At 35.6% G+C, this 22,249-nt stretch overlaps 1 protein-coding gene across 3 annotated transcripts in view; it reads right to left on the bottom strand.

Annotated features, from left to right (window-relative positions):
* CCDC181 (coiled-coil domain containing 181) overlaps positions 1 to 19,616 on the bottom strand; it is a 65,800-nt gene extending 46,184 nt beyond the window's left edge. For 2 of the 3 annotated variants that reach the window (NM_001300968.1, XM_005245383.1), the window contains exons 1-2: positions 19,200 to 19,616; positions 18,744 to 18,811 (exon numbers count right to left, since the gene is read on the bottom strand). The gene's annotated coding sequence lies outside the window, so the exon portion shown is untranslated. Of the gene's footprint in view, positions 1 to 13,446; positions 13,528 to 18,743; positions 18,812 to 19,199 lie in introns of all 3 variants that reach the window. The other variant, XM_017001938.2, reaches the window with a different exon arrangement.

A 22,249-nucleotide genomic window follows, 5' to 3' on the forward strand; every position in this document is an offset into this window, starting at 1 on the left:
AAAAGTTTCCATTAAAACTAATACTAACCTTGGGCTAGTTAAGCATATTTCTGCTAAACTGTGAGTTCTTTAAAAGCAGCAATGGCATTTTAGGCATTTCTGTACACTTAGTAGTATATATATTTAAGTCTTTAATGAATATTTATTGAGTTCACATTACTGAACTCATGAACTAATAATTTGTGAGTAACTTACGTGCTTTATGCTATTAAGTTCATCACTTTTTCTGATACTTAATCACGAAAATGGAAGTTACTGAAGAAATTAGTGTTTTTGATCAGGGAAGAGAGAGGAATAAATTTCTAAAATGGGGCATTTTGGGAAAGTGCAGAACTCTAGTAAATTAGGATAATCAGAGGCACCATGAAAACACAGAACTTGCATGTAGGTGAGGAAGGAATGATGAGGGGATGTTAATGACATACTTTGCAATTTTATAGAATACAGCAGTTCTAGGTACCCTCTCCCTCTCCCTACACATTCCATTTAATGTCTTCTTCCTTCTCCCCTCTAAAGTGGGTACCCTCTGGCTATCGATAACTATACAAGGGAAGAAAATTAAGAACATGTAAGAACAGGGTGATTTAGCAAGAAGTAGGTACATGAAGCAAAGGAAGCTGGTTCTTATTCAAGGACTTTTCCTTTGATGGGCTTTATGCTTTTTAAACTCTGACGATACTAGATATCAATAGATGACTGTATTTCAACTATAGGCATTGAAAAATGTATTTAGAATTTATGACTCATCAAGGACTATGAGATTTTACAAATATAAGATCAATATATGTAAACAGTGCCATGTGTCTTCCCTCTCCACTGTTTAATACTAGTTACGTGTATAAATTTTAAATGTGCATAGTCTGAAATATGATCCCGGAAATAGATAATACTTCCCAATTATCTGTCATCATTTACTATACTATGTATAGAAATAAATAAGTAAACAATATGAGGAAGAGAACAGTATAAAGTTGGGCAACTCTCTACATTTTGAATAAATGATTTCACTTAGAAAAGCAATATTTATTTAATGTAGGTAACCAAGAAGAAAATTTAAATAAGTTGAGTGCCAGGAATTGAGAACATGTGACCATGCACATCTCCTATAAAACTGTTCAAAGTAACACACTTTATAAAAAATGTTTAGATTCTACATAGATTCATGAAATTTTAAATCACTTAAAAATAGTTATTCAGAACATATGTGCAAAACACTGTTTTTATATATTTGGAATATATCAGCAAACTAATATATTCCTTAGGAGTCAATTACTTCAACCACCTAGAACCCAGTTGCAAAAAAAAAGTACAAATGTCTTGAAAACAATAATATGAAGCCATTAAAAAGTTTTGTGAGTTAAGTTTGAGCAATTTTTGTGAAAATCTCTCACAGTCCTTTGATTTACTTTATTCTAATAAGCTCAGATCTCTGAATTTCTAGTCCAGAAAGTAGAATGTGATAACTTGAAAGGAAGGGAAAGAAAAGAGGTGAGATGTTTTAAGTAGATTACTTTTTGAATTTTACACCTGTACATGCTATTGTTAATGCACATTCATTTATAGAACACAAAGACTTTATAATTGTAATGTTTAACACACATATATTTGAAATGGGTACATTGACATTGAGATATTTTGTAAATTAAAAAACTGATCATGTGAGAAATATTTTCTTTAAGGAATCAAAAATTCTCTTCAATGGAGAGAGAGGACAATAAATAATAAACATACTAAGTCATATGATAGAAGTTGACAAACAATATGCAAAACATAAAGCAAAATAGAATCAGAAGTGTCAGGGTGTGTTCTGGTAGTGAGATTGAACTTTTAAATATTGTAGTCAGGTTAAAGGTTATTGAGGTAACAGTTGAGACTTTCATTATAGTTATATGCAGATTTCACATATAATAAAATCTACCTATATACAAATATATAGAGAGACATATATGTGTCTATATGTGTATTATATATCAGATATATCACATATCTGGATACCATTATAATGAAAATATGCCTAACTATCAAAAAACTCAAGACCTTCTTTTTGTTATTCGCTCTCATGTGTCACACCAAAGGCTGGAGACCTTAAGTTTGCCTTTAACCCTCAGCAGCAGGACAAAACCACTTCTAGCTTGTATTCCAGAAATACATTTCTTAAAACAAGTGCTCTAAGGAAAAAAGCATTTGCAATGTAATTATTTTCATTTGTTTAGTAGATTTTTACAGCCTTATTTCATGTGTTCAGCACCTTTGAGCATATGTCCATTTGCCATAAGGCAAAAGTTTAAAGGGATTTCCTGCAGTGATGCTTTTGTTTTCTCAGTATGTGATTAGAAGTCTTGTGATCGACCTTAACTGAAGAAGGATTTAATAGGAATAAATTATGGAAAAGAAACGAAATGAATCAGAATTTAGCTTTTGAGAAATCAACAAACATAATTTACTTTTTAAATTATCAATAAGAAAACCCTCTGTTTATAAGTGGTGCCTCATTGGCTAATAATTACTCCTTGAAAATATCTACCCATATCATTGAATCTAAGTGCCATTTACTAAGATGTCCTATAGTTTTAGCTTTTCTCAGTGCAGATTAATAGCAGAAGCTGTACTTCATCCAGACAAAAATATTTAACATCAAAAGCAAAAATTAAGAAATAAGGAAGCTAAACACCAAGCCTCCATTTAAGGTATATAAATAGTATTGATGATTAGCGATAAGAATAATCATCTTCTGCTCATGTGCCGTGCTAAAGCAAAGAATAACTGACTCACATACACAAGGAAAATGCTCTTTAATTTGCTCTGTTGTTATAAAAGTTCTTTTAAGTCTCTCATATTCATATTCACTTATATTCTGTACTGTTAATATCACTTCACAGAAAGACTAAAAGTACATTTTGGTTTATTAACAGTAATAGACATAGTTATAAAATTTGCCTGTGGTTAAATTTATACTCAACTTATTCTCAAACAGATCTGAGGCTGCTTGCAGTAACATTGATGTGAATGGTAAATACAGACGAAGAGGAAGTCAATATGCTAACCCTAAGTTTGCTCAGTTTCTGAAGATACCTTTATGGCAAAAAGCCAGGCAGTAAACGGATCCAGCAAAAGTGCCAACACCCTTCATTGGGAAAACTTCCTCTCTTGAACCTTTAAATCAGGATAGTGCTTTTTTATTTGACACCTATGATGGTGTAGAGCTTCAGGTTTTAAGCAGCCAGTTTTAAAAAGAAAATACAGTACTACAATACCTAGCTCTTGCACGAGGAAGAAGAAATCACGAGTGTTCCTCAGGAAAAACTTGTTATCCTCGCATTAATTTTTAAAGTAATTTCTCAGGTGGCATTTTTATTAGGGGTAGTGAGTGATGTAAGTGACAGGGCCTTCAGTAGCATTTTTACAGCAAAGTCCAGACACGTTCCTAATGGTTGTTTCCTACAATGACCTTAAACTTTTTTAAAAGCATAACTGTAAATCTCAGTAAAGATGATTCTGCATTGTCACATTTTCTTGGTAATAGTTTGACAAACTACACTTCAAAAACCACATGCTTTTAAAAATTGGGATTTTTTTAAATTTGAATTCTTCCAAATATTTTATCTTCACCTTTGCCTCTTGAATACCGCATGTCTTGTAGTGACAATCCAAAAGCAGTGGTGGCTACATATTTTTCTTCTCTGGCCTTGGCACATTTCTTAAGCTAATTACAAAACTTAGATATGCAAGAGTACCTTTGGCATTAGCAAATAATGAGCACATCTTGTCTCTGGATCCAGATGCAAAGAGAGACTATCTCCCAAGATTACGGATTGCCACAATTGAGAGGTTCATGTCAGCAACCAGAATACTCTCAAAAATGTAAATCAGATTATATCCTTTCATGACTTTCCAATGCTATTAGAATAAAATACAAACTCCTTACCTTACTTCCAAGGTCCTACATAATCAGGCCCCTTCTCACCCTGTGATCTCACCTCCTACCACTTTCCAGTTCATTCATTATGCACCAATCATCCTAGCCATGTTTCTTCCTCAAGTATAACAAGGTCTTTCCCATGTTTGATACTTCCTCCTGCCTGGAACGATCTTCTGCAGATATTTTCATAGCTGGCTCCTTCCTATCGTTCAGATGAGAGTGGATATTTTTATCTTGTTCCTGATCTTAGGGGGGACAAAATGCCCAGTTTCTCATCATTCACTATGATTTTAGGTGTAGCGTTTTTGTAGATGCTCTTTAGAAAGTTTGAGCAAATTCCCCTTTATTCCTCGTTTGCTGAGAGATTTTGTCATGAATGAGTATTGGGTTTTGTCAAATGCTTTTTCTACATCATTAAAATGATCACATTATTTTTTCTTCTTTAGCCTGTGGATGTCATTGATTACATTTATTGATTTTGAAATGTTGAACTACCTTGCCTACCTGGAATAAATCTCATTTCGTAGTGGCATATCATCCTTTTTGTACATTGGTGGATTTGATTCACTAATCTTGTTGAGGAGTTTTGCATCAATGTTCATGAGAGATCAGAGTCTGTAGTTTTTCTTTCTTATAATGTCTGTTTTTGGCATTAGGATAATGATGTCCTTATAGAATGAGTCAGGAAGTGTTCCCTTTGCTTCTATTTTCTAGAAGAGATTGTGGAGAATTGGTATCATTTCTTGCTTAAATATTTGGTACATTTCACCAGTGAAACAATCTGGGCTTAGTGCTTTCTTTCTTGGAAGGTTATTAATTAGTGACACTATTTTTTTTAATAGATATAGGTCTATTCAGATTGTTTTTCAAGGAGGTAGTGCATTTTATCTAAGTTATCAAATCTGTGTGCATAGAGCTGTTCATATTACTTCTTTATTATCCTAAAACATTCATGGGATCAATAGTCATGATTCCTCTCTCATTTCTGATACTGGTAATTTGTGTTTTCTCTCTTTTGTCCTTGGTTGGTTTGGCTTGAAGTTTATTGATTTTATTGATCTTTTCAAAGAACCAGCTGTTTGGTGTCATTGATTTTCTCTATTGTTTTCCTGTTATCAATTTCGTTGATTTCTCCTCTAATTTTTATGTTTCTTTTCTTCTGCTTCCTTTAGGTTTAAACTGACCTTCTTAGGCCGGGTGCGGTGGCTCACACCTATAATCCCAGCACTTTGGGAGGCCGAGGCAGGCGGACCATGAGGTCAAGAGATCAAGACCATCTTGGCCAACATCATGAAACCTCATCTCTACTAAAAATACAAAAATTAGCTGGGCATGGTGGTGCACGCCTGTAGTCCCAGCTACTTGGGAGGCTGAGACAGGAGAACTGCTTGAACCCAGGAGGCAGAGATTGTAGTGAGGTGAGATGGCACCACTGCACTCCAGCCTGGTGACAAAGCAAGACTCTGTCTCAAAAAAAAATTAATAAGTAAATAAATTGCCCTTCTTCATTTAGCTTCCTAAAATGAAATCTTAGATTACTGGCTTTGAATATTTCTTCTTTGCTAATAAACAGTCATCCCTCCATATACCCATGGGTTCTGCATCTGCAGATTCAGCCAAATGCAGGTCAAAAATGTTTGAAAAAGTAAAACCAATAAAAATAATACAAATTAAATACCAATGCTCTATAACAACTATTTACATAGCATTTACAGTGTATTAGATATTATAAGTAATCTAGAGATGATTTAAAGTTTACAGAAGAATGTATGTAGGTTATATGCAAATATGACACCATTTTATAAAAGGAACTTGAACATCTGCAGATTTTGGTCTCTGCAGGAGGCCCTGGAACCAATCCCCATGGATACTGAGAAATGACCATGTGTACTTAATGTTATAAATTTCCCTCTAAACATTGCTTTTGTTGCATCCCACGAATTTTGATAAGTTGCATTTTCATTTATTTTGAATATTTTCTAATTTATCTTGAGACTTTGACACATGTTATTTAGAAGTATTTTGCTTAATCTCCAAATATTTGGAGACTTTCGAGCAATCTTTTTGTTACTTATTTCTAGTTTAATTCCTGTATAGTCTGTGAACATAACTTGTGTAATCTCTATACTCTTAAAAGTTGTTTTTGGTTTATTTTTTTGAGACAGAGTCTTGCTCTGTCACCTAGGCTGGAGTACAGTGATGCAATCTTGGCTCACTGCAACCTCTGCCTCCCAGGTTCAAGAAATTCTCCTGCCTTAGCCTCCCGAGTAGCTGGAATTACAGGTACCCACCATCACACCCAGATAATTTTTGAAATTTTAGTAGAGACAAGGTTTCGCCATGATGGCCAGATTGGTCTCGAACTCCTGACCTCAGGTGATCCACCCGCCTCAGCCTCCCAAAATGCTGGGATTACAATGTAGGAATGAGCCACGGTGCCTGGCCTGTAAAGTTGTATTTTGTAGCTCAAATGTAACCTATTTTAATACATATCTATTCAAGCTTGAGAAGAATGTGTATTCTGCCATTGTGGAAGTATTCTATAAATTTCAATTACATCAAGTTCATCTAGATCAAATTGATAGTACTATTCAGGTCAACTATATCCTTACTGACTTTCTGCCTGTTTGACTTATGAATTACTTACTGAAAGGTGTTGAAGTTTGTAACTGTTACAGTATATTTGCCTATATGTCTCACGTAATTTAACCCTTTGTTGTTAGATGCATGCTAAGGATTCTTATATCTTCTTGGAGAATTGATTTCCTTATTATGTAATGCCTCTCTATCTTGATCATTTTCCTTGTTCTGAATTTTGTATTGTCTGAAATCAATATAGCTACTTCATCTTTCTTTTGTTAAGTGTTAGCATAGTATATCTTTTTCCATCCCTTTAATCTATATATGTCTTCATATTTAAAGTGGGCTTTTTGTAACATTGTTACTTTTTTCATATCTTTTTCTGCCTTGTCTTGTTTTTGAACATTTTATACTATCCATTTTATCTCCTCTCCTCTTTTTGAAAAAAGTTAGTTGCTCCAGAGTTTGCAATATATATTTTTAACAAACTTAAAACTAACTGAAAACTAACTTCAAATAACAGTATACTGTTTCACATGTAGTGCAGGTACCTAATAACAGAGTTGTCCCAGTTCTTACTTTCTGACCCTTATGACATCATTGTCATCCACTCCACTTATCCATATGCTAGATATTGTTTCTATTATTACTTTAAACAGTTTAAAGTTTAGTGTTAAGAATAAGAAAAATAAAATATTTTATCTTCATTTATTCCTTCTCTAACATTCCTTTTTTAAATATAAAACTAAGTTTCTGACCTATGTCATTTTCCTTCTCCCTGAAGAACTTCTTTTAATATTTCTTACAGGGTAGATCTGCTTGCAATGAATTCCTTCAGTTTTTGTTTTTCTGAGAAAGTAATTTTTCTTCACTTGTGAGAGATAATTTCACTGGATGTAGAATTATAGGTTACAGGGCTTTTTTTTTCTTTTACAATGCTTTAAATATCTCACTCTATTTTATTCTTTTTTGTATGGTTTCTGACAAGAAATCTGCTGCAATTCTTGTCCTTAATCTCCCATCTGGTGGCTTTCAATATATTTTTGCCTTTGGTTTTTTGAAATTTGAATATGATATGCCCTGGTGTAGATTTTTCGTAATTATCCTGCTTGGTGTTCTCTGAGCTTTCTGGATCTGTTGTTTCCTGTCTATAATTAATTCTGAAATGTTCTTGTGCCATTATTAATTCAAATGTTTCTTCTGTCCCATTCACTCCTTCTTCTCTTTTGGTATTTCAACAATGTGTATGTTACATCTTTTGAAATTGTTCCACAGTTCTTGGGTGTTCTGTTCCTTTTTTAAATTCACTTATCTGTTTTATTTCAGTTAGGGAGTTTTCTGTTTCCCTATCTTCTAGCTTAGTGGATTTTTTCTTCTGTTATGCCATGTGTACTGATGATCCCATCAAAGGCATTCTTCACATTTAAGATAGTGTCTCTGATTTTTAGCATTTCCCTTTGATTCTTAGAGTTTCCATTTCTCTGCTTACATTCCCCTTCTGTTCATGCCTATTGTCTATATTTTTCCACTAGAACCCTTAAATATTAACCATAACTTCCTGGTTTGATAATTCCAATGTCTGTGTCATATCTGAGTTTGATTCTTATGCTTGCTTTATCTCTTCAGACTGTTTTTGTTTGTCTTTTAGCATATCTTGTAAATTTTTGTTGAAAGCTAGACATGATCAGATACTAGGAACTGAGGTAAATAGGCCTTAAGTGTGAGGTTTTGTTTTAATATGGCTAGGAGGTGGGTTGTATTTGATGTTTGCTGAAGTTGCACATGCCATAAGCTTCCAATTTCTCTAGTATCCGTTTTCCTTCCTATAGTATTTGGGCCTCCCTGTATTAGTCAGTGTTCACCAAAGGGACAGGACTAATAGGATAGATGTATATATGAAAGTTAGTTTATTAAAGAGTCTTGGCTCACACAATCACAAGGTGAAGTCCCACAACAGGCCATCTGCAAACTGAGGAGCAAGGAAGCCAGTTCGAGTCCCAAAACCTCAAAAGCAGGGAAGCCAATATCAGCCTTCAGTCTGTGGCCGAAGGCCTAAGAGCCCCTGGCAAACCAATGGTGTAGGTCCAAGAATCCAAAAGCTGAAGAACTTGGAGTCTGATGTTCGAGGGCAGGAAGCATCCAGCATGGGAGAAAGATGAAGGCTGGAAGACTCAGCCAGTCTGGTCTTTCCACCTTCTTCTGCCTGCTTTTATTCTAGCTGCGATGGCAGCTGATTAGATTGTGCCCACCCAGATTGAGTGTGGGTCTGCCTCTCCCAGTCCTCTGACTCCAGTGTTAATTTCCTTTGGCTGCAGCCTCACAGATACACCTAGGATCAATACTTTGCATCCTTCAGTCCAATCAAGTTGACACTCAATATTAACTATCACACTTCCTAAGGACTCCTCTTCAAGAGAGTCTGTGTTTTTCAGCTCCTTCAGCTATAATTCAGTTATGACAATAGAGCCCGATTGATATGGGGGTGAAGTATGAAGAGAATCATTCATTCTAGAATCTTATGATTAAATTTCAATTTTTTAGTTGGCCTGTGTCCCTGGGCTGTGACTTTTACAAGTGTTTCTTAGGTTCTCCCTCCATCCCAGTAGGTGAAACAGAAGGGCTCAAGAGGAAGCTAGAGTTGAAGAAACTGTCCTTCCCCTACAGAGGATAAGGCCGTGATAATGTATTTTTCCCTGGAGAGTAGGCCTTTGTTATGAGAATGTTCTAGGCCTACTTTTATAATGGTTACTTTCCCCCTCTATCTACAGAACATTTTCATGTCTCCCAACTGAAACTATGCACACTAAACACAAATTTCCCATTTTCCCTTCCCTTCAGCTCCTGGAAACCACCATCCTGCCTCCTAACAATGGAGTCTTTTGCATTTGCCATAATGTTTTTGAGGTTTCTCCACGTTATGGTATGTATCAGTATTTCATTCCTTTTTATCACAGAATAGAATTCATTGTATGAATATACCACATTTTATTTATCTACTCAGTAGCTGATAGACATTTGGGTTGTTTCTACCTTTGACTATTATAAATATTATTGCTATAAGAATGTGCATACAAGTCTTTGTGTCAACCTATGTGTTTATTTATATTGGTTAGATTTCTGTGCATAGAATTGTTGGTTTGTACGTAATTTTTAAGAAGCTAACAATCTGTTTTCAAAAGTAGCTGTACTGTGTTATGTTCCCATCAGCAATGTATGAGAATTCCAGTTTCTCTACAGCTGTTAATACTTGGTATTTTCTGCTTTTTTTGTTACAACCATTCTAGTGAATGTATACTGCTATCTCATTGGCATTAATTTGCTTTTCCCGAATGACAAATACTGTTAAGAACTTTTCATATTCAGATTGAACACCTCTTATCCAAAATGCTAGGAACCTAAGTATTTTGGATTTTTATTTTTCTCAGGTTTTAAAATGTTTGCAGAATACATACCACATAAGTATTCCTAATCCAAAAATCTGAAATCCAAAATGCTCCAATGAGCATTTCCTTTTCATACAATTGTTGCTGGGCAGAATGAGTGGGGGAACATTACAGATGTGGAAGTCCAATTCTCTTACCATCTGCTTGGAGTTTTTTTCCAAAGAAGTTTTTTTCTTTATGGCCCTAGGATCTGTCTCATCCTCATATATGAGTTCTGGACTGTTGCTGGGGAAAATCACAGCTCTGTATATTTTTGGTTTTCTGTGGGGACAGTGAAACCAGCTTGCTTCTGTACTGCCACTTTAAAACCAGATGTCTGCCAAAAAATTTTTATTTTAATGGTAATAATTAGCATAAAATTTGCTTTTAGGACCATTGTAAGCCACAAAGATAACTATAGTAGCACAATTTGTAAATGGGGTTGATAGGGAGTGGCACATAAACAGAAATCCTAAAGGCTGAACATGTAAAATCACAACTACTTTTATGCCTGTCTTTATCTGGTCTAACATGGCAGTAAACCAAATATGTTTTGACAAAGTGACAGCAAACTGTTATAATGATTGCCACTCCCTTTTTTCTTCTTTTTGAGGAAGCAGGAAAATGCAGAGCAGAACAAATAGTTCTGTTTCAGACTCTACCCCTTTCCCTGGTTCCAGGCTAAACAATACCCAGGTAACAAGCATAAATAAATAACATCACAAAGAATTACACAATACCCAAGCTGGCGCAATTTAAAGAAAAAAAAAAGATGACATGAAAATTGTAGAGAAATTTTGTCAAGATAATGTGCTAATAGGGTAAGGAGTGAGTGAAAGGACAGAGGAGTCAAAGATAACTTATGGCTTTTAGCTTGTGCAAATGAAAGAACGGCAGTTTACTGAGATCCAAGAGAACCAGCGTGGGTGACCAGAACTCGATAAGTTGTTTTTTGACTATGTTATGATTAATTAAGCAATCAAGTAAATATGGAACTAGGTAGTTGAATATGTAAGTTTAGAATTCAGATAATAAAGCACTAGATATATATAAATTTGAAAGTGATCAGCGTAGACATGGTTCATAAAGCCATGGGGCAGGGGGAAGACAGAGAGGAAATGTAGATGAGAAGAAAAAAAAAAAGAGATTGGAGAACTTAGCTTCAGGATTACACCTTAGGTTACACTTAAGTTTAGCTGTCAGGAAGAAGAGGAAGAACCAGCAAAGGAGATCCAGGAGTAACCAGTGAGGTAAAGAAAAAGAACCAGAAAGAGGTATGTTCCAGAAGCCATAGGAAGAACATGTTTCAATAAAAAATGCTCAGCTATATCAAACCTGCTGTTGACAGGTGAAATACAAAGAGGATTAGGAATCACTGTTTTGACAGTAGTTTAAGTGGAATGATGGGGATTCTAAACTAAATAGGAGAACAGAAAGTAGACAGCAGTACTGACAGTTCTTTTCAAGGAGTTTTACTCTAAAGGGGAAAAAAGAAATGGGGCAGGAGGTAGAATGGCACAGGAATTCAAGTAGAGGAGGATTTATCATGAAGCTAATGAAGTCTAAGTTTCAGGGCTTCTCACCTGTGCAGGCCACTTCTATGGCCCTGGGAGGGGTCCTAACAATGTATTTATGTGATATGTGAAAATAAGTTTTTAAAAAAATTTCCAAAAGTAAAACATTTTAACTAAAATAAGCCATTTTCTCCTTCCATTCCAACTTCTGTCCATCAAACATTCCCTCTTTGGTTGGCTGCAGACACTTCTGGATTCTGACTAAATGAGAGTTAAATTAGTAATATATTTAATTTGCATTTATGTTTTGTTTTAATTTTGAACAAAACATTATTTTCAAGTATAACAAAAATAATTAAATTGAATTAAAAATTATTTTCCTTTTTCTCTTAAATCCTGAAGAACTGGAATGACAAAATATGACCCATTCAAGTCTAAAGCACTATGAAAAGTACCAAGAATTATACATTTCTAGTCATTAATTTATGAAGTAATATAGTTATTTTTGGCTGTAGTCTACTTGTTTTTTTCATTTTTTGAAGAAATACATAATCAATGTGAAGCAAAATAGACTTGAGAAAGAATTGAAACGACAAAAAAAAAAGAAACGCTATGAGATAGGAAGATGAATCAGCAAAATATGCACTCTTTTACAGTAGATTCCTACTATATCCAAGAACAAAACCTCCTTATTACACAGGGTAAAACAGAATTCAAAAGGACATTGTATTTCTATTGGAATTCTTTAGACTTTTCTGAAATGTCAAGACAGCCATAATTTGATTAATATTAATCTGAAACAGCAGCAAGTCACCATGTCTGAAAAATATTGTATGGACACTACAACATAACTACATCTTGATGCACACTAAATAGTAATGTATGTGAAACTTCTCTTTATTTCCCAAGACCCCCTAAATGATTTTATGTAAGCTGCTAGATTTTCATACAACCCTTTCCTAGTCTAATATACAAATATATGGTCATTCAGTCTCTCCTAGAAGAATGTGAATGACACAGAATCTGCCACTCTAATGGGGAGGCCATATTTTTTGGTTTATTCTGCTTCATAATACAGCAAGGACCTCCCTGACTACAAACATGGATCAGAGCCTCTCATCTTGGAAATATTGCCCCCAAGTTCACTTTTATTTTCGTTTTTGCTCTTTGCTCTCATCCTTCCTCAACGATTCTCCACACTTCTCACTTTTCATTCTCTACACATCTACACATAATTCTTTTTTTTTTTTTTTTGGCATTAACAAAAGGCATTTAAAAGAGCATAAAGTGAATGTCCCTCCCTACCAGTGGGCATCAGAGAGAAAATGTGTTCCTGGGATCACAATTGCCACAATAGTTTCAAGTCTATTAAGACACTTGCATAGCTGACAAATCCCAGTTAAATGAATTTTGAAATTACCTCCACCTTACTTGTGGTGGGCTTCTTTTCAAAGGGACACCAGATACTGCCATCTGTATGATACATGTGGATTCTCAACAGTCTTAATCAACTTGTTGCTTTTGATGTCCCCTCCTTCTTCAGGACCAAATAGATGCATTCTTGAAACAATTTTAAACCAAGAACTGACTTTTTCCCATTTTTAGAATGTACTCATTATAAAACAAGGCTATTTTTGCGGTAGTCAGACAAAGGCACAGCCTCCTTCTTTTAGATGTATTTTTTAAACACTTCATGTTTTTAATAAGGAGAAAATGAAATCTATATTTCAACACTATTGGAATATATATAGGCAACATGGGTGGAATGGCTATTCCTTGCCTTATTATGCCATGGAATAAAAATACTCCTACTCATTTTCCCTCTTTAAATAATGTAAAGTTATGTATAGATAATTCAACACAAAACTACTTGCCAACTCAAAAAAGATTTTACAAAAGATATAATATCTTAATATGTGGTGTTTTATTCATATATTTTGCAGAGCTGCTCAATTAATTGAAGTTTATATTGGGGGATTAATCAGACATAAGGAAGAAATAAAAAACTTACAATGAAGGGAGGCAATTATTAAATTGCTTCTGCTCAGCAGAAAATGTTTTCTTCAGGATCTCAACCATGAATACCTAAATTCTGGGCAGGGAAAGCAGGAGTATAATAGAAATACTAATCAAAATTCACAGGACGTTCACACTGCTTTTTCTTTTAAAAAATGTTGTATTTGATACATACAAAAGAATATATTGGCATATAAATTTAAAAGTATAAAATAATAAAACTTACCTATCAAATTAAAAACATTACCAATGTTCATGACCTACCTATTCCATCTCCCTGTCTTACCAAAAAAGGTAACCACTATCACAAATTTTAAGTATATTATTACATGCCTTTAAAGAAAAAGTTTTATCCATTATGTGTGTTATTCTTAACCAATATGTTGTTTGATTTACATACTTGATTTTGAGCTTTATTTTTGAAATGGTACAATACAACATAGACGGCTACTTGTTTTTTTCTCAACAGTTTAATTATTCTCTAAAATTTATAAATGCTACTGTATGCAATTATATTCATTTGTTTTTTGCCACTGTATAACATTCCGCTATCACAAAATACCAAATTTTTTCTATTCATTTTCCTGTCTATTGACTAAATGAGAGTTAAATTAGTAATATATTTAATTTGCATTTATGTTTTGTTTTAATTTTCCTGTCTATTGACAGGAAAATGAATATTTGGGTTTTTTCAAGGCTCGTATGTTTTCATTTAAATTTTTTCTTTCATAATTGAGATTTTATTCAATCAGTACATAGCCATTATGGATAATTTGTAAACAAGTCCTAATGTAAGTTTTCTAAAGTATTAATTATTCCATTCTTTTCTAAACAGTAATTGTAGTGACTTTCCAACTTAAAGCTAGAGGCAAACTTTCCTTAAGAAAATATATCAGGCCCTAGTAATTTCAAATATTGATAAACTGTTAGGTTTAAAGCCCCACTAATTAACAATTTAGTATCATACTGCTATACTTCAAAATTTCCAAACTTTAACAATTCTGATATATGGAGAGCCAAAATGAGGGAGCAGTTTTCTTTAGGAGCAATTCTATTTGTTTTTAAAGCAAGAACATGGAGATAGGCTTTAAGTAATTTAAAATATTCAGAGATATTAGTGGATAATTGTGACTGCTAATGGCCATTTTGTTAAATTCATAAGATACAAAAACTGCCCTTCCTAGCAGCCAATACAGTTAACACCCAAGACTGTCAAATCCTCCCTTATGTTGACATCTTCACATTTTAGGTTGTACAGAAAAATTACAGGCATATCATTTCTTTTTTTAAAGAAAGTACATACATGCAGGTGTGCACTCACACATGCACACTTGTGCACACACACAACTTCCTTCTAAAATATGTGTTTTTAGAGCTATTTAAACAATCTTTTATTTACAACATAGGTAATAAAAATATTTATCCAGATTATAATGAAGAAGATACAGGAACCATAAGACTTGGTAACTATATTAATCAGATTTGATTTTTTTTCTCTCCTTAATTAAAGACTAGACCCTCCTCAGTTTTAGTTTCTCTACTTTCTGCAGGAAAGTTGTCTTTAGTTTCTTAGATGGCCATTTCAGCCTGTTTGCCTTTTGCTCCCCATTTTCCTTTGCAGTTTTTTGGCTGAAGATTTATCCTTTCTTCCTCCCTTTTTGGCTTAGTTTCAATTTTTGTAGGAAGTGGCTAGGAACCTTGCCGAACTATTCAAGAGCTCCTCCTTAACTCTCACTTAGCTAATGTGATCATCATCTTTAGTTTCCTGGCAGTGTTTTGTGGTGGGGAGCACAGATGCACTGTGCAACCCTTCACAAAGCCAGGTTGCATTGTTGCTGTATCTAAGTACCTCGCATAAGCCCAATTTATATACTCTTCATGTATAGTATTTTAAAATATAAACCACAGAATAAATAATCATTATTAATTAGTAAAGCTAATGACTGTTTGGTGCTGTGGTTTCAATGTTCCCTCCAAAACCCATATTGAAACTTAATCCCCAATGTGGCAGTTATTGAGAGATGGGGCCTGCACTCATGAAAAAATGTGTCCATTAACAGATTAATGAGTTATCATGGGAGGGGAAATGGTGGCTTTATAATAAAAGAGAGATCTAAGTTAGCACATTATCATGCTCAGTCCTCTTGCCATGTGATACCCCACACTGCCTTGGAACTCTGAACTCTGAACTCTGTAGAGTTCCCACTGGAAAGAAGGCTTTCACCACATGCAGTCAACCTTGGACTTCCCAGCCTCCAGAATGGTAAGAAATAAATCCCTTTTCTTTATAAATTACCCAGTTTTAGGTATTCTGTTATAAACAAAAGAAACTGGACTCAGACATCTGGATTTATCTAAATGCTTATCCTTTTATCTCATCCTCACTTCTTGTATGTGAGACCTTCCTATTAGGGTCTTGTTCATTTCTCCTGGATAATCCATTGCTGGCATGGACTTTTTCCATTTTTAAAATCTGTGACTGTTTTTATTCTAGTTCTTAACAGATCACTCTTCTGGGTACACAATTTTAGGTAGGAAGTTATTTTCCTTCAGTAATTTCATTACTGTTGCCTTCTAGCTTCCATTGTTGCTCTTGAGAAATGGCTGTTAGCTAACTGATTCTTTTTTTATATATGATGTCTTTTCTCTCTGGCTGCTTTTATGATCTTCTCCTTGTCCTAAGTTAATTGTAATTTAACTATTATGTGTCTAGTAGTTTTTAGATATCTGGCTTGGGATACACTCTGATTCCTGTATCTGTGGATTCATGTTTTTCGTCAGTTTTGCTAAATTCTCATTCTTAACATAGAATATTGCTTCTCCTCCATTCTATCTATTCATTCCTTCTGAGGCTATAAGATCTTCTCATTCTGTTCACCTTATATCTTAACCTCTTCTTATATTTTTTAATCTCCTATCTCATTGCTACATACAGTAAGTCCTCACTTAACATCATTAACAGGTTCTTGGAAACTGCAACTTTAAGAAAAATGATGTACTGTATAATCAAACCAATTTTACCATAGGCTAATTGATACAAACAAGAGTTAAGTTCCTATAGCATACAGTATATCATTTCACTTAAAGATGCGGTTTCTAAGAACCTATCCATGACATAGAGGAATTACTATACTAGGTAATTTCTTCAGTTTTACTTTCCACTTCACTAATTTTATCTTTAACTGTATTTAATCTGCTGTTTAACCTAGCCATTGAGCTTTTTAAAGTGTTTTAGTGCTAAATTTAATAAATATACAAAAAAGAACATAAATATGTAATTATATAGCAAATATACATGTACAATATTCCAAGTCAACAACACAAGTACCATAGAAATCTGTGTGCCCCTTCTTAAGTATACCTTTCTTCATCTTTCTAGAAATAAACATTTGCTAGACTTTTATGATAATTGTTTTATATTTTTGTCACCTATATATAAATATTTAGACAATAGTTTGAACAAATTGTATTGATAGATTCTTTTGTGTCTTAGTTCTTTTGTGTCTTTCTGTTTTATTTAAGATTGACTAAAATTATTGCTTGTGGTTCTGGCTTATTCATTTTCATTCCTGTATAGTCATATTTTAAGTACTCACTAGTCACAAGTGTCTAGTGGCTACCATATTGAAAAGTGCTGCTCCAACCAAAGGCTGGGGCAAAAGTAATTTTTGTTTTTTTTTTTTTGTTTTGTTTTTTTTGCCATTTAAAAGTATGGCCAAAATCGCAATTACTTTTGCACCAACCTATAAATATAAATAGGAGGTGAATTGCTCGGTCATAGGAAATGCATATATTTGACTTTAAAGGATAATGCCAAAATGTTATTCAAAGGGATTGTACCAATTTACATTCCCACCAGCAATTTATGAGATCTTATCCATGGAATTTTAACTTCAACATTTCTGTTTTTTTAAATGTTTACCAGTTTCTTATAAATGATATAAATGAACAATTTGATAAAAAGGCACACAGGGGAAATCTAGAAGGGTCCTGAGTGCAGGAGCTTCTGTCCCCATGGAGTTGGGGTAGGCACTCTACTGGCACAGAGATGTGTTCACCAATTTGGAAGCTTCCCAACATTTCTATTTTTAAATTCTAAAATATCTCTTTAGGTTCTTTTTCAAGTCAGTCTTGTCATATTGTTACTTTCTTGGTACTTGCTCATTTCTGTGATTTCATCTTTTGTATCTAAATTTTATACATATTTATTTTATACTGTATATCTCTTATAATTCCAATATCTGAAATCATTAGACTCTTAATCTGTTTGTTGTTCTGCTGACTCTTACTTGCAGTTGCTTATTTATTTATGTCTTTGGTGATTTTTAATAGTCTTTAATTTTTAATAATTAATTTCTAATAGTAAATATTTTACATATTTATTTGATCTGAGAGTAATAGTCCACCAAACGTCCTATTAACTTCTTATACTCTACTGTGGTTTCTTGGGGGTTGTAAGAGGATAAAAATCATGCATATGGGATTGCAGTTGACAAATATTAAAATAATTATTCATTCTCGTTTGTACAGCAGTGAGTAAAAAATAAAATAAAATAAAAAGGGCAATAATTATTTATTATGCTTTTTTATTTCTCCAAATTTCCTACCATAAACACATAATGCTTTTAAAACTATGAAATAATAAAATAATCATGGAACCAGAATATTTGCCAAACACAAAATCAAGTAGCAAAATTTTATTTGCATTATGAAATAGGATTTTAGGTCACTTCCTAAGAGGCTAGTTATTCAAAATTAAGGTGTCCCCTTCTTTGTGCTTTCCTATTCCACACTGTGGATAACTCTATCAATGCAGAGGCTTAAGAGGAAATGATTTCTCGAGATGATTTTTGAAATATTGCTTCTGATAGAAGCTAGAATTTCTACCCATCTGGGAGCACCTTAGCCCCGGTCCAGAATCCCTGGCTCAATGCTGGAATCCCTTCATCATTAGACATAACCATGTCTTGTTATTAAAATGGATATAGAGACATGACTTACGGGTAAGCATATTTAGGTATGGTATTTATACCTAAGGAAAGGAGCCCAAAATGCAGAGAAAATAGCAGGGTGAGGAGCACAGAATAAAAAAGAAAAAACTATAACTGGGAGTTAATTACAAGGGTTGGAGATAAAAACAGACCTTGAGGCCTATTGTTGGTTACTTGGATAATTTCCCACTATGGCTATTCTCTGGGATACGGCCTTTTACTTAGTCAAGCATAAGACACAAGCAAGAATTTCCAGGTAGCTGTTTTCTCCAAGTGCTCGATCCTAGAGATTAGTACTGACCTAGAATTTAAGGTCCATCTTTGTCAACCCTCCCAGAACATCAGAAGTCTTCCATGGTTTTTGGCATCCTGTGGGGAATAATGGTCAAGTTACGCAGTTTGAAATTAGGAAAAAAAAAAAAAAAAAAAAAAAAGGAGGAGGCGGAGGGGAAGCAGGAGCAGATAGAACTATATCAAACAGATGAGCAAACTTAGAGGTTTTAAATATTTAAATATTAAATAGTTTTTGTTAACATTTCAGCATTTGGGACAGCACTTGGGCCTGTGATTCCTCTGAAAGACTTTTCTGGAGGGTAAGATTTTCCTTTGGAAAGGGTTGTTACCCCCTTTTATTTACTTATTTTAAAGGAAGACAATTCGATAATAAACTATTTCAGTGGGTGATTTGTAGCGGTCAGTACCGTTTACTGAAGACGTTTAAAACGTCACAGACCGCAGCCAACGCCCTTCCCAATACCTGATGTGTGAATTTCCTTCATCTTGTGGTTTGGCGTGGGTTTTGGAGGAGGAGTTTCAGAAAACGGTCAACATCGGCACAGTTAGGGCTTTATAAACAGGCTATCCAGAGTTCGACTCCTCCTCCTGCACTGGCTAGTCTTGAGAGCCTCTTCCCGGGAAAAACTCGGGTGGAAAGACCATCCGAGGGGAGTGAGCCGCAGAATCACGTAGGGGCTGCAGCGCCCGCCGCCGGCTAGCCGGTAATGCGCAGGCACAGGGAGGGGCGCACGCGGAGAAGGGGTAGGTACGGCGGGCTTGCAGCAGGCAAGGCAACCTGCTTCCAGTCTTCAGCCGCACACCCAGAAGGAGGGAGTCGCTGGCCGGGAGATCGGGCTCCAGGTTTTCTGTCTCACTCCACGCGCACAAATTGGACCCCAAGACACCTCACTCCGTTGCCACTTACCCACCCATCGTGGGACATACTCAGCACACCCATCTGACGGCTGCTCTTGCCCTGCCTGGCATTGTTTTCTGAGCTCTGCTTTCTGAGCAAGGCCTACTCCCCCAACCCTTCCCCACTGCGGTTAATATCTTACAAACTTGACAGTGGAACTGGGGCCAAAGTGACCATTAATTTGCCGGGTAGGGTGGGAATCAGAATCCTGGTTTATCCGCTTCATAGATGTGTAATCTTGGCAGGTTATTTAAACTTTCTAAGCTACTTTTTGAAACGTAAACACACATTGTAGAATGTTAATTTAGCAACCTCAGATCAGTCCTGTTTTCGTTTTTTCCACTGCCTTAAGTCATAAAAGGGCTTCCTTACCTACTACACCCAGCCAATTGCAATGGCAATCCAGCTAGCAATTTTAGGTAGTATCTTCCCATACAATTCATCATATCCATCTTTGCCAGATTAAATTTCTTAAAAATAAGCTTAGTCATTACTCCCCATCCCCATCTCCAGTTAATAATCATTACAAAATGACTCACGCTGTCTTCCCAACTCTATCTCATCCTACTCTTCTACACATATTCCTTGTTGACTGTACCCATCTCCTGCACTTTCTGGCATTCATATCTTCACTTGTGGCCCTTTCTCCACTACACAGTTCCCCTTTCCACATTTCTGTTAAAATCCTACCCATCCTGCATGGTCAACTTAAATGCCATCTTCAGGAAGCCACTCCTGATTTTCCCAGTGTCCTCATTCTCTCTTCCAGACCGAAGCCTTTTGTTATGATACCTATCTTGTATTGCAGTTGTGTACCTCTGTTATCCTTTCTACTTATCTTTTCCAATTATACATCTTAGGGTCCTTGAGGGAAAGAACCACGACTTTTTCATCTCTGTATCCTCACAGGTGCTTTCCAAAATATGAACTAAAAATAAGGGGAGGATTTAGAAAGCTTCTGATCATTTTCATTTCGATTGAAACATTCAAAGTTTCTTTTGAGAGTGCAATGTTGAAATTGGTAGCTACAAATTAGTTGTAAATGGAGAGCAAGGGGAAGGAAACTCATTTCTTAAATCCCTGCTCAGTACTTGCAATGTGACAGGTGCTTTCACTTATGTTTGCTCATTTCTTCACAATTCTGTGAGGTATCATACCATTTACAGATGAGAAAACTGAGGCTCAATAGAGTGACTCTGCTAACGTATCACAGCTTTGAGTGGCAAACCTAACATTTTGAACCCCCTTCTGTAGTATTACTTACTGAAAAAAGTAGAGGAACTAGTATTTCTACAAGGTCCTTTTCAAGAATCAAAGGAGATGATGTTAATAAATGCCCTTCCTAAAGTATGTTAAATATAAGGTATTAATTATGGGGAATATGACATAATAGGTAAAACAAATAGATATCATACCATTTCTATCATTTAAGCACAACAGTACCTTGAATAAGGCATCCAGTGGACTAGAGATCAACAGGCATTTTAATCTTAATATTTTACACTGATGTGCTTTTTTTTTTCTGAGACAGTCTCTCTATCCCACGCAGGAGTGCAGTGGTATGATATCAGCACACTGCAACCTCCGCCTCCCAGGTTCAAGCGATTCAGCCTCCCAAATAGCTGGGCTAATTTTTGTATTTTTTCTAGAGACGGGGTTTTGCCTTGTTGGCCAGGCTGATCTCGATCTCCCGCCCTCAGGTGACCCACCCGCCTTGGCCTCCCAAAGTGCTGAGATTCCGTGAGCCACCGCAGTCTGATGTGCTTTTTAAAAATGACAACTCCAATTTTGTAGGCTGCATTTAAAAATACAGTAAGAATAAGGCTGGGCAAGGTGGCTCATGCCTGTAATCCCAATAATTTGGGAGACAAAGGTAGGAGGATCGCTTGAGGTCAGGAGTTCAAGACCAGCCTGGACAACATAGTGAGACCCCATCTCTACAAAATAACAATTCACTGGGTGTGTTGGTACCCGCCTGTGATTTCCAGCTACTTAGGAGGCTGAGGCAGGAAGACTGCTTGAGCCCAGGAGTTCAAGGCTGCAGTGAGCTGTGGTTGTGCCACTGTACTCCAGCCTAGGAACACTGACTCTTTAAAATAAAAATTTAAAAAGATGAGCATTTAACTATTGTATTGGCAGGTGGCTGAGTCCATCACATACCATTTATATAATTAAATGTTCACATGACACCAGAATCTGTTTTGCAACAAAAAACAAAAATAAGACATGGTCCCTGGTCTGAAGGCTTCCAATCTGAAAGGTAATAAGACACAGGCAATGAAACTATAGGGCTATAAAACTATATTTAAAAAAATTTTTGGCCGGGCGCAGTGGCTCATGCCTGTAATCCCAGCACTTTGGGAGGCCGAGGCGGGCGGATCACGAGGTCAGGAGATCGAGACCATCCTGGCTAACACCGTGAAACCCCATCTCTACTAAAAATACAAAACATTAGCCGGGCGTGGTGGCAGGTGCCTGTAGTCCCAGCTACTCGGGAAGCTGAGGCAGGAGAATGGCGTGAACCCAGGAGGCAGAGTTTGCAGTGAGCCGAGATTGCCACTGCACTGCAGCCTGGGCAACAGTGCAAGACTGTCTCAAAAAAAAAAAATTTATTT

This window comes from Homo sapiens, chromosome 1 (assembly GCF_000001405.40).
Source record: "Homo sapiens chromosome 1, GRCh38.p14 Primary Assembly".
Lineage (NCBI taxonomy): Eukaryota > Metazoa > Chordata > Mammalia > Primates > Hominidae > Homo > Homo sapiens.